Below are 14,029 nucleotides of genomic sequence, written 5' to 3' on the forward strand. Positions count from 1 at the left end.
TTTTATGGTTTTGTGTTTTATGATAACTTCTTTAATCTGTCAAGTTTAGTGTGAAGTAGATAAAGAATGTTTTATTTCTTTTCCCTGTATAGCTCCACTATTATATTACCATTTAGTGAGAAATCTTTTTTCTATTGATCTGAAATGCCTCCTTTATCATATACTAAATAATTTCTACATTTGGATTTGTTTCTTAGTGTTTTATTCAAGCATTTTTTTTTTTTTTGAAACAGAGTCTCACCCTGTTGCCCAGGCTGGAGTGTAGTGGCAATATCACATCTGACTGCAACCTCTGCCTTCTGGGTTCAAGTGATTCTCCTGCCTCAGCCTCCCAAGTAGCTGGGATTACAGGTGCCCGCCACCACACCTGGCTAATTTTTGTATTTTTAGTAGAGACGAGGTTTCTCCGTGTTGGCCAGGCTGGTCTCGAACTCTTAACCTCAGATGATCCACCCACCTCGGCCTCGCAAAGTGCTGGGATTACAGGTGTGAGCCACTGCACCCAGCCTCAAGCATCTTTTAAAGATAATTTTTGGTAAACTCTTTTGAAAACTAGATTGAAAGACAAGTATATTTTTAAGCTGACTTTAATGCATTTTAATTAATCAGGCTTTGCTTTAGTTTCACTCTATGTATTTTACATTCCTCTGCCTTTATTGGAAAAGTTATTTGAGATCATCAGAGAGGAGTTTTCAGTGGATCTCCTAAGCTTGGTTTTAGTGGTGTATTGATTTACTGAGGCTGCCATAGGAAAGTATCACAAACTGAATGGCTTATAACAATAGAAATTTATTATCTCACAGCTATGAAGGATAGAAGTGTGAGATCAAGGTGTTGGCAGGGCTGGTTCCTCCCAAAGGCTTTGAAGGAGAATCTGTTGCATGTCTCTGTTAGCCTGTGTTGGTGGCTGGTAATCTTTGGCTTGTAAAACAGGGATCCTGAACTGTCCGTGGCCTGTTAGGAACTGGGCCACAACAGCAGGGGATGAGTGGTGAGCAAGCATTACTGTTTGAGCTCCACCTCTGTCAGATCAGTGGTGGCATTAGATTCTCATAGGAGTGCGAACCCTGTTGTGAACTGCATGTGAGGGATGTAGGTTATGTGCTCTTTATCAGAATCTAATGCCTGATGATTGAGGGCCAGGCACAGTGGCTCATGCCTGTAATCCCAGCACTTTGGGAGGCCAAGGTGGGTGGATCACGAGGTCAGGAGATCAAGACCATCCTGCCTAACACGTTGAAACACGTCTCTGCTAAAAATACAAAAAATTAGCTGGGCATGGTGGCATGCACCTGTAATCCCAGCTACTCAGGAGGCTGAGGCAGGAGAATCGCTTGAACCCGGGAGGTGGAGGTTGCAGTGAGCCGAGATCACGCCACTGCCCTCCAGCCTTGGCAACAGAGTGAGACTCATCTTAAAAAAAAAAAAAAAAGAAAAGAATTAAATGTAGTATAAGTGGAACAAAGTTCTTTATTATAACAGAGTTTTCTAATTATTATTGGGATATAATAAAAAGGCTATTTTTGTGTATTGTTTTTGGGCATTATTGAACTTATATTCTAATACTTTTTGCGTATTGGATTTTCTAGATAGTGATTTCATTTATAATTGATCATTTTGTCTCATTTCTAATATTTATATCACCTTTTTTGTTATGTAGCAGACTATCTCCTTTAGAACATTATTAAATAACAAATAGCAGGCTTTTCCTATTCTTAAGTTAATAGGAATGCCTCTGGTGCTTTATCATTATTCATATGTTATTTTATGTTGCTAATTTTTGTTTAAACATTTTTCCTTTTAGCTTTTATTTTTAAATTAAACTTTTTATTTTTATTTTATTTTTTGAGATGGAGTCTCACTCTGTCACCCAGGCTGGAGTGAGTGGCGTGATCTGGGCTCACTGCAACTTCTTTTTTTTTTTTTTTTTTTTGAGACGGAGTCTGGCTCTGTCGCCCAGGCTGGAGTGCAGTGGCGCGATCTCGGCTCACTGCAAGCTCCGCCTCCCGGGTTCACGCCATTCTCCTGCCTCAGCCTCCCAAGTAGCTGGGACTACAGGCGCCTGCTACCACGCCCGGCTAATTTTTTTTTTTTTGTATTTTTAGTAGAGACGGGGTTTCACCGTGTTAGCCAGGATGGTCTCGATCTCCTGACCTCGTGATCCGCCCGCCTCGGCTTCCCAAAGTGCTGGGATTACAGGCGTGAGCCACCGCGCCCAGCCAACTGCAACTTCTATCTCCCAGGTTCAAGCAAATCTCCTGGCTCAGCCTCCTGAGTAACTGGGATTACATGCGTGCGCCACGGCACCCAGCTAATTTTTTGTATTTTCAGTAGAGACAACATTTCACCATGTTGGCCAGACTGGTCTTGAACTCCTGACCTCAAGTTATCTGCCTGCCTCAGCCTCCTAAAGTGCTGGGATTATAGGCATGAGCCACTGTGCCCGGCAAATTAAACTTTTTATTTTGAGCTACTTGTAGAATCACATGCAATTGTAAGAAATAATGTAGAGAAATCCCGTGTACCCTTCACCTAGTTTTTTCTTGTGTAACTAAGGTACAGTATCACCATCAGGTAACTGCACATACCTTATTCACATTCTACCATTTTCACTTGTACTCCGTATTCAGATTTTACCAGTTTTGCTTTTACTCATTTGTGTGTGTGTTCTGTCACATCTGTAGATTGTGTGACCACCACCACAGTCAAGATAAAGAAGAGTTCCATCACAAAGATCCCTTGTGCTACATTTTCATAGCCACAGCCATTGCCCTCTCTCTCTGCCTCCCTAACCCCATCTAAGCACTAAACTCTATAATTTTGTCATTTCCAGAATGCTATATAAACAGAATCATATAGTATGTAACCTTTGAGATTGACTTTTCTTTATTCAGTGTAATTCCTTTGAGATTCATTCAGATTGGTGCATGTATCAATAGTTTGTTTTTCTTCATTGCTGAGTAGTATTCCATGGCATGCATGCATCAGAGCTTGCTTAACCATTCATCTGTTGAATGACGGTTGTTTTCAGGATTTGGCTATTATGAATAAAGCTGCCGTCAGCGTTCATGTGCAGCTTTCATTTCTCTGGAATAAATGCTCATGAGTGCATACACCCTTTACTTAGACTCATCTGTTGGTAACATTTTGTCCCATTTGCTTATTATTTCCTTCCTTTCTCTCTCTCCACTTTTCCATACACACACAAATATAAACTAAAATTTTTCCTTAACTGCTTGAGAGTAAATTTGACTACATCCTTACTCCCACATACTTCTGTATTTCCAAGAATTAAGGATATTTTCTTACATACTGTGATGGTTAATATTAGGTGTCAACTTGATTGGATTGAGGCCTAGATAGCTGGTAAAGTATTGTTTCTGGGTGTGTCTGTGAGAGTGTTGCCAGAGGTGATTGACATTTCAGTCAGTGGACTGGGAGAGGAAGACCCACCCTCTGTGTGGGCGGACACCATCCAATTGGCTGCCAGTGCGTCTAGAACAAGTCGGGTAAGCTGGCTTGCTGAGTCGTCTGGCTTTTATTTTTTGCCCATGCTGGATGCTTCAGTCCGCTCCTGGTGCCCTTGGACATCAGACTCTGGGTTCTTCCGCCTTTGCACTCTTGTACTTACACCAGTGGTTTGCCCGGGGCTCTTGGGCTTTCAGCCACGGACTGAAGGCAGCACTGTTGGCTTCCCTACTTTTGAGGCTTTTGGACATGGACTGAGCCACTAATGGCTTCTTTCTTCCTCAGCTTGCACATGGCTTGTAGTGGGACTTTGCCTTGTGATTGTATGAGCCAGTTTTCCTTAATAAACTCCCTTTCATATATGCATATAAACTATTAGTTCTGCCCCTCTGGAGAACCCTGATTAGTACACATACCCACAGGAAAGTTATCAACTTAATTTAACATAACTTTTGATATAGCTTTTATCAGATCTATCATCTATAACAATTTTGTCAATTCGCCTAGCAACGTCCCTTTTAGCATCTTGTCCCCTTCTAGTACAGGGGCTGGTCTGGGTCCACATATTGTGTTTCATTGTTATGTTTCCTTTACCTCCTTTAATCTGGGAACAGCTCTTTACATTGTCTTCTGTGACATTGGCATTTTTGAAGAAGCAAAAATGAGAACTTTACATGTATTGTCTCCTTTAGTACTTAAGACAGCTCTACAAAGAAGCTTTTATTATTATCGCCTCTTTTAGATGATGAGAGGGACAGAAAGATGAAATAATTTGCTCAAGTCATCTTAAATGGTAGAACCTGGATTCAAACCTGGGTGTTTTGACTTCAGAAGCCTGTTTAACCACTGAGCTCTACTGTCTTTCATTAATCTTTTAGCCTGTTTGTAGTAGCACTTGACCTTTCAGAAACTGAGAACCAGGGAAACTATTTTCTATATTGGCTGACATAAACAAGTATTTAATTTGTTTTACAGTAGATGATCCATTTTGTGATGACTTCAGATATTTCATCTGTTGCTTTTAGTTGGAGTTAAAGTTAGGTCTGCATCTGATTAACATTTATGGTACTTTATGGAAGTATTAAATAGTTTAAATGAAGTTTTAAGCATCAAGCAGCTGGTTGTCTTGCATATTAGAAATAGAGTTTATAGGAAACCCTAAGTTGTCTGGGCTGTGTGTTTCAGGCCAGATAAGGATAGTTTCTTCCAGGACATTCTTCAGGGCTTGGTCTAGTCTTTGTTAATTGTCTCAAAGAAAGAGCTCCACTATCCCTGGAGGAAGGCAGTTTTCTAATCTCTCATCTTTCTGGAAGGTTTTCTTTGTAATAAGATGTGGCAATTAAAATGTGCCTTATTCTTTCTAAGATTCTTTTAACGTCACTACCATCTGAAGTAATATGAAATACATGTGTATGGGTTTGCCAAGATTGCAGTTTCCGTGGGAATCATAACATTGGATTTAATCACATCTGGGTTAATGAAGCGTGCACAAAGGCTCTGCATGAATATAGGTTTTATATTTAATGTGCATCTGGAGGCAGCAAGGTCTTAGTGATGTAGTTTCCCTGTAAGTGACAAGTTGAACACTTGCTAGCTGAAGGTTTAAGGTAATCCCAAGGCTAGGAACTTTGCCACGGAACTGAGGTCCTGCACCTTGACCCTCAGTTTAGAAGGCATGCGTAAGCACTGGGAATCTGGAGCTCTTTAGTGGAGCTGGAGGCCCAGCTTATTTCCCTGGAGTCTGTAGACTTTGGGTTTGTTTTGTCTCCATGAGAAGCAGGGATTACAGTGCTGGTGTTTTGACTTCTTTTTTTGAAGTGGTAGGGAGAAGAAGTACACCAGGTCTGTCATAGTTGTACTTTGGTGTTTTGGGAATGATTTTGGTCATTTTTCTTTTTCTTTCTTTCTTTTTTTTTTGAGACAGAGTTTCGCTCTTGTTGCCCAGGCTGGAGTGCAATGGCACGATCTCTGCTCACTGTGCGCGACCTCTGCCTCTTGGGTTCAAGCGATTCTCCTGCCTCAGCCTCCCAAGTAGCTGGGATTAAAAGCATGTGCCACCACGCCCAGCTAGTTTTGTATTTTTAGTAGAGACAGGGTTTGTCCATTTTGGCCAGGCTGGTCTCCAACTCCCGATCTCAGGTGATCCACCTGCCTCGGCTTCCCAAAGTGCTGGGATTATAGGCGTGAGCCACCGCACCTGGCCTATTTTTCTTAGATTGTTTTCTCTGCTGTCTACCTGACGTTTTATAACTATTAAGTTCATGGTGATGGTCCTTGAGAGTGGTAGTGGTTTTTACGTGGAAAATCTAGAATTTTGGATTGCTCCAAACCCTAGAATCACTATCTTTCAAACTCACTCATGTTGAAGGGCATGAATGTGGAACTTAATTTCTCCACGGAAAGTGGAGCTAGAGTGAGGGTTGTCTTTGTAGGGCCTCTCTCAGGTCCACCAGTGCCACGTGCTTAGCTGACAGACCAAAATCAGAAAGTTGACTTAGAGGTCATCAAGCTTTCCCTATCTATCTGTGGTCTGTTTTAGTATCTTAGTCATTTTACTGTTTAGAATTTTGTGTCCTCCATTCCTCCAGATTCCTTGAATAACACTAGACTTCTCCGTGACTTTGAGGGTAAATTACAACTGGTTGTGACTTTATATGTCATCTTACAGGAGTGTTCTCCAAGACATGACGTGGATCTTGTGTGTAGGCAGGAAGATGGTTCTTAGCAAGGCCTTACCGTGCTTAGGGCTGAAAGTCTGTTGGTAGTAACTTCCAGATGTTTGCAGCCGCAGTCCTGAGAGTAGTAGGCATTGTTGTAGCAATACTTTCCCAAGACTAAGGCCATGATATAACTGACATTTTTGAAAAAAATAAATAACTAACACAGAAGCTAGATTGATGTTAATCTCTTGTGTAAAATAAAAACAAGTTTTTATGAACACTGACATTTTATTTGAACTGATATGAACCTAGGGAAAATTACTTTCAATTCTTGTATGTTTTAGTCATTTTGTTCAGTTGATTATAGGTTCTGAAAGTCACATATTTTTCCAAATTGCCATGGTAAAATTGGCCACGTGGATGAGCTTTGCAACCCTTTTTTCCTTTGTCTTATTACTTTTGAGACTAGTGTATGGAGATGTGATGGCTCGGATTACCGTTGAAATTATGCGTGTAGATAGTGGGTGAGTTCTTTCTCAGCTTTATTTTTAAATAACTGCTTCTGTATCACAGCATGAAATTTGGATTGAGCTTGTGGTAACCTTGCTCAATAAAATTTATGCTTTCTGTAAGTAAAGGCCCTAAGTGATAGTAGTTGTTGCTGAATTGTTTGCTAAATAGAATATTTTGCCAGTGTGACCTGTAAATGGGAGTTTTAAAAATGTATGTGTCAGTATAATTGTGTGTGTGTGTGTGTGTGTGTGTGTGTGTGTGTATGTGTGTGTTTGTATAGAGGCGTAGATGAAAAATCTTTGGCTATTAATTGAAAATTATTTAATTTGATGATGAATGTATGGTAGTTTCTTACATTTTTTCTACCTCATGGATGTTTTAAAATTTCCAAAATAAAGAGTAAAAGAGTCTCCCCAAACGGTAATTAAGAAAAGGGACAGGGGACTGGGCACAGTGGCTCACACCTGTAATCTCTGCACTGAGGGAGGCTGAGGCCGGATCGCTTGAGCCCAGGAGTTTGAGGCCAGCCTGGGCAACATAGTGAGACCTTGTCTCTACAAAAAAGTAGAAAAAATTAGTGGGGTGTGGTGGTATACGCCTATAGTCCCAGCTACTCGGGAGCTGAAGTGGGAGGATTACTTGAGCCCGGGAGGTTGAGGCTACAGTGAGCTGTGATCGTACCACTGCACCCTAGCCTGGGTGACAGAGTGACATAATGAGATCTTGTCTCAAACAACAACAACAACAAAAAGATAAGATGTAGGTTTTATTTGCTAGGGAGTAGAGACAAGGGTCAATGAAATAGATGTCATGATTTCTAAAACCTTCCAGGGTGGCTTTTTCAGTGGTGCTGAAGTACTGCCCCTGAGTTACTTCAGGAGAGAGAATAGAATTTTACTGTTGTTGCCTAGGTTTACTGATCATGGCAGAGGTATTCCAGTGTGCTGCCCATACATTACAAAAAGAAACCCTTTGTGTTTTCTTTCCACAAGATCCTTTTATTTGATATTTGGAGCCAAGTGTGAATTCTGACACCAATACCTTCCCATGCTTCTTTAGGTTTTGATTTTTTTTTTTTTAAAGATGAGGTTTTAAGATGAGGCTTTTAATTAGTCTCTATTGTTTTGCAAGTGTTTCTCTCTGTTCCTTCCTTCACTGGATGGATGGAGAGTGGTTTCTTATTGTTTCTAAAGTACTTGTGTTTGACTTGTGCTTTTTGCCACTCTCCCTAGAATTTGTCTCCGAAGTCTGCACATTTTTCCCAAAAAGAAAGGTTAGAATAAATTTCAGAGGGTTGAAAATGCCAGTTTGATACGAAAGTCTTTAAAGCATAGGAAGAAATCTTAGTCGCTTCAGTGTAATAATTCTGTAGATGACTTTAATCGTAGTAATAAAATGCGGGAAAGAAACATGAGATTGAATTTATAATGTTATACTGTACAGAGTACACATGAGAAATCAAGCTATTTGTTGAAACAATTTCCACCTTATAACATTTTTGGGCCTTATTTGGTAGCAAAGCTTGTATTTGAGATCTCTTTCAATTTTGGTTTTGTATGTTTTGTCATTGCAAATCTTAAATTTGTTATTGTGTGATTTATGGCCAAAACTCTGGTACTTCAGTGGCATTAAGATGATTCTGTCTTTATTAGGCAAGTAATGATACTGTAGATCCACTCAAGCAGTATCCTTCATGTACTTCCTGCCATTACCGATGTCCTGTGTATTACCAAGATGTGAATATACTAAACTCCAGCATTCAAATAAATCTTAAATAGACTCCGAGTTTTTGGAGTGCTATATGAATTTATAAGAGAATTTCAGAAGCGAGAGAAAGTTTAGTTGTCTTTAAGAGTTTTCTTTTTTTTTTTTGAGCTCTGCCTCCCGGGCTCAAGTGATCCTCCTACCTCAGCCTCCCAAGAAGCTGGGACCATAGGCATGAGCCATTGTGCCCGGCTAATTTTTGTATTTTTTTGTAGAGATGGGGTTTTGCCATGTCGCCCAGGCTGGTCTTGAACTCCTGGCCTCAAGTGATCCGCCTGTCTCGGTCTCCCAAAGTGCTAGGATTACAGGCGTCAGCCCACTCCAGCCTAAGAGTTTTCTTAAATTCCGTAATGTGGGAAATGTTTAATATTTTGACGGCAACTATTATTGTCTTTAAATTATTTTTATTTTTTAGAGACAGGGTCTAACCCTGTCTCCTAGGCTGGAGTGCAATGGCACTATCATAGCTTACTGCACTCTTGAACTCCTGGACTCAAATGATCCTCCTACTTCAGTTTTCTGAGTAGCTGGGACTACAGCATGTGCCACCATCTGGCTAATTTTTAGATTTTTGGTAGAGATGAAGTTGGGCTATGTTGCCCAGGCTGGTCTTAAACTGCTGGGCTCAAAGGATCCTTCCACCTCAGCCTCCGAAAGTGCTGGGATTACAGGCATGAGCCACCATACCTGGCCTTAATTGTCTTTTAAATTTAGAGTTGAAAAACATTACAGAGGCTATTCATTATTTTCCATCAGGGTATATCATATTATTTGCATTAGGGTATATTGCCAAACTGTGCCTGTAATTCCTGATGTGACATTAGGCCGTAATAAATTCTCCTGTTATCAAGAACATTTATTAGGTGTGTACCCTGTGGGCATGGTGTAGAAGTAGGCAGAAGACATGATCCCTGCTCCTCAGTAATTTACAGGTTTTGAGAGTACACAGGGCATCTCTTTTAATGACTTCATTCAGTAAGCATTTCCTGAGTATCCACTGTGTGCTAGCCCTTCCAGGAACTGGGGATACAGTGATGAACGGGACATACAAGGCTCTACACTCTTGGAATTTACATACTGGAACCCTCAACACTTCACGTGCTAAATGATGAAATTGTTAAGGACCTTATGAGGGGAGGTATTACTTTGCTGTGGTATGGTTGGGAAGGCTGTATTGAGGGATGAGGACTGGAGCTGGACAGGCGTGAGACTGTTCATTTCCCACTGTGTATTCTGTGGAACCTGCTATCAAAGATTTCGTGGTCAAATAGATGGAAAACATGACCCACTTGGGATTGTGGAGAAGGCATCCCAAGAGCTGGAGAAATTAGGTGAGACAGTAGGGGAGAGGATATGGAATTTGAGCTGTTCTTTAATGGGTAAAATTTTAAGAGTGAGGTTGGAGTAGAGGGTGAGTGAACTGTGTGAGAATGTGCAGGGAGCTTGAAGAGTACGGGCCATGTTGGGGGATGCTACCCAAAATGCACCTGTCCCCAGCCTCCCCTCCTACCCTCACAGAAGCTACCCATTGTCCTTGGCTCCACCGTGTCACCTCTTCCATGCTTTCTGTGTTTTAACATGCTCAAGTTTCTCCTTTCATAAAAACACCAACAAAAAGGCAAACTGTCTTTTGCTTCCACCTTTCCCGCTTCATGGCTAAATTTCACAAGCAATCAACAGCTCACGAACTCCACATCCCCCCAGCCCATTCATTTCTCAGCTGATTTCTTTTTTGTGTTATCCCCATTGCTTCCCCCTTGCACCTCTCACTGAGCCCCTTGTGATATCCATCCTGCTAAGTGTAATGAACACTTAATGCCTTATTTCACTTCTCTTAGTGACATAGGGCTTCATTGCCCTCTGTCTTCTCGAAATCTTGATTTTCTTTCTCTTTTCCCTGCTGCCAAGCCTCCAGGAAGTAGAGAAAAGACATTTTCTTGACATCACACTCTTCCAAGTTTTCTCTTATATCTCCCTCTTAGGAGGCCATTTTTTCTCAGTCTTTGCAATTTCTGTTCCCTTCTCCCTGGCTATTGAACTTTGAGGCTCCTCAGAGTCTCAATCCTAGGTCCCTTCCTTTTTTTCTCGATATTCTTCCTAGGCTGATCGCATCTGTGTTCAATTTCAGTTGCTTTGGTTATGATTTGTTCTCTGGTGACTCCCAAATTTGCTGTCAGCCCAGATGTTCTTCAGAGCTCCTGACTTTTGTGTCCAGCTGCCTGGTGTTGCAGTCACCTCAAACTCAGCACGTCCAATTCTTGGCTGATGATCTCTACCCCTCTATCCTCATTCAATAACCCTGTCCTGGTGCATGTAACTCCCGTCCATCCAATTATGTAAGCTAGAAAATATGAAGTTATCTTTTTTTTTTTGAGACAGAGTCTTGGAGTGCAGTGGTACGATCTTGGCTTACTGCAACCCCTGCCTCCCAGGTTCAAGCAAGTCTCCTGCCTCAGCCTCCTGAGTAGCTGGGACTGCAGGTGTGAGCCACCACGCCTGGCTGATTTTTGTATTTTTAGCAGAGACAGGGTTTCGCCATGTTGGCCTGGCTGGGCTTGAACTCCTGACCTGAGGTGATCCACCTGCCTCGGCCTCCCAAAGTGCTGGGATTACAAGTGTGAGCCACCGCGCCTGGCTGAGATGGCTTTTTTTCTTTATCAGTAATCCTTGACTGAGGTCAGTAGTCCCCCAGTTACCTCTGAGGGTCTGCATCACTTAGGTTTAATTACCTGGAGATTTCACACAGATCCTAAAATGATATATTGTAGGTAAATGGTGTCCAGGTAATGTCTTTCATTAAAATGAAATAATTAATATACATTTAAGTCCCTCCCTCTCATCCACTTTAATACTTAAGGATAAAACAGGAGCTCATATTCCAACTGCATTTTTTTTTTTTTTTTGGTCTTCTTAGAAGAGCTCTAACGGTTAACATTGTTGAATAAGAATGTCATTGTTGAATAAGTTGTCATTCATCTATGTCAATGACAGGTTCTAGAAATGAAAAAAATAACAATTTATCTTTTTTTTCCTTTGTGAATCATGCTTTTCATGTCCTAAGAACTCTTCACCTAATCGTAGGTCATGATGCTTTTCTCTTATGTTCTCCTCTAAGAGTTTTATAGTTTTTGTATTAGATCTGGGATCCATTTTGAGTTAATTTTTATATATGGTCTGAGGCAAAGGTCAAGATTTTTTGTTGGTTTTTTTTTTTTTTTTGGTCTATTGATGTCCAGTTGTTCCAGCACTATTTGTTGAAAAGGCTATCTTTCCTCCCTTGAATTGCTTTTGCACTTGTGTCTGAAATCAGTTGGACATATTTGTAAGGGGCTATTTCTGGGATCTCTCTGTTGTTCCATTGGTCTAGGTGGCTGTCCCTCTGAAAATACCACAGTCTTAATTGCTATAGCTATATAGCTTAAAATCAGATAGTATGATTCCTCCAACTTTATTTTTTTTGGTCGTTCATTATTTTAGTTATTCTAGTTCCTTTTCATTTCTATATAAAATTTAAGATAAGCTTGTCTGTATCTACAAAAGATCTTGGGACTTTGCTAAGAATTATGTTAAATGTATAAATCAGTTTGGGGAGAATTGATATCTTTACTATGTCATGGTCTACTAGTGTCAACAGCTTACCACTTTAGGTGGAACATAGGAAGCTTACCACGATTTAGGCCCCTTTACCCTCCCTGCTTTATAGTTACATACATTGAAAACCACATCAGACAATATTATACTTTTGCTTTTAATTACCTAATGTAATTTTAAAAACTCAAGAGGAGAAAGTCTAGTACTAGTACACTTAACTATAAAGTTACTCTCCAACATTAGTTACTTTTTACTTGTAAAATTCTATTTCTTTCAAAATTTATATTTTAGTAAGTTTCTTTCGCTTGTGTTTATTTTTTCTTTTCTTTTTTTCTTTCATTCTTTTTCTTTTTTTTTTTTTTTGAGATAGGGTCTCACTCTGTCACCCAGGCTGGAGTGCAGTGGCATTATCATGGCTCACTGTAACCTCAACCTTCTAGGCTCAGGTGATTTTCTCACCTCAGCCTTCTAAGTAGCTGGGACTACAGGTGCATGCCACCACATCTGGCTAACTTTTTGTAGAGACGAGATCTCACTATTTTGCCCAGGCTGGTCTCGAACTCCTGAGCTCAAGTGTTTTGCCCTCCTTGGTCTCCCAGGTGTGAGCCATTGGGCCCTTTCATTACTTTATATACATTGTTTAAAAATATTCTGTAGTTGTCTTTTTTTAAGACCTGAAGTTATTCTGTACTACATTTTGCTATTTTTTCTTTCTGACTGTCAATCGTGATGGCTCTTTCCTTATGTGCTTTGTAAGCATTTAGCAGGCTTTTGACTGTAGGCATATTCTGAAGCAAATAGTTCTGAGAGGAGTTTTTGGTTCAGCAATGGGTGCCACCAATCTAGGATCACTTTAAGTTCGTTTCTATGCTTGGGGTTCATTAGCTGGACCCTATTGTGTGAATACAATCCTGGGTTCTGAATGTTCAGAGGAGACTTTCCTATGGAACCTAGATCAAAACAGACACCTGTGATTTTTTTTCCTTCACCAGCTGGTGTATTTTTTCTAGCCTATTTTCTCACTGAGATTGTTCCCCTTCAAGGGTCTGAGTTTTTTCCAAGGGGCTCACTTCAACCTTTCTACATTTTGTATCATCAAAGCCTTAGAGTCTTCAGTCCCTCTGCGGCTTTAAACCACTCTTGATACTAACACCAGAAAGTGCTCCCAGGGTCTCTATAGCCTCAGTTTCTACTTTTTCTGGTTTCTGGCTCCCACTTGATTTTTAGCTCCTGGGGATTTTCTTTTCTTTCTTGAGAACTCAACTGTGCATTTTAAAAGAAACTGGTAATATTTTGTTTAGCAGTTATAATAATTCAATAATTCAGTATCAGGTGGTTTTTCAGATATTGACTCCACTATGTTACTAGAAATAGAAGATTTTGACACACAGCTTCCAAACCATTCAATAAAGTATAGATTATTGGGTCCCAGGAGGGACTCACTCTGGTTTCTTTAAAATTGGTCATTTGGGACAAAAGTTCTTCCTGTCTCTCAGGAGGGGCTGTGGTAGCGACACTTGTCCTTAAAAGGAAGAAGCATGGGCATCTTTAGTACTGCCCTCACATCTGCCAAACAGCTAGAGAGGTTCAAGAAGGAAGGGAATGCTCAACTGTGTCAAGTGCTACAGCAAGGTCAACTAAGATCAAGACTGAAAATTGACAGTGGGATTTCACAATTAGAATGTCTTTGCCAGAGTAATCCCATGGAATTGGGAGGATGGTCTTTGGTCCAGGCAATTCCTGTTTTTCTCAGGAAGAATGACTTCTTGTTTATCAGTATGTGGTTATTTATTTTATGCTGTCTTATTTTAATACTGTCTAGCTTCCAACCTTGCCTTAGATAGAGTAGCTATGTCTGTCATAGAAACTGGATTCAGCCATAGATTGTAGGACCTATCTTGTATACACCTAGGTCCTTAAAGCTTTTGTTTATATCTCAGGTGAGGTCATCAGAAGGAAGAACTGAAGAGGTAAGAGCCCAGCTGGGGTATTAAAGTAAGAGAAAGAATATAATGAGGTATTGTCAGTTTTAA

General features: G+C 40.5%; 1 protein-coding gene across 5 annotated transcripts in view, besides 1 other annotated feature; it reads left to right on the forward strand.

Annotated features, from left to right (window-relative positions):
- The window catches only part of DIS3L2 (DIS3 like 3'-5' exoribonuclease 2), a 382,638-nt gene that overhangs the window by 20,759 nt on the left and 347,850 nt on the right, over positions 1 to 14,029 (forward strand). The window lies entirely within an intron of this gene.
- Positions 7,450 to 8,071: an enhancer, noted in NCBI's record as "OCT4-NANOG hESC enhancer chr2:232854631-232855252 (GRCh37/hg19 assembly coordinates)". NCBI's record gives its function as "activates a minimal SCP1, AML or CMV promoter by ChIP-STARR-seq in primed H9 embryonic stem cells {active_cell/tissue: H9 hESC(primed)}" and the evidence as "EXISTENCE:reporter gene assay evidence [ECO:0000049][PMID:30033119]".

This window comes from Homo sapiens, chromosome 2 (assembly GCF_000001405.40).
Source record: "Homo sapiens chromosome 2, GRCh38.p14 Primary Assembly".
Taxonomy (NCBI): Eukaryota; Metazoa; Chordata; class Mammalia; order Primates; family Hominidae; genus Homo; species Homo sapiens.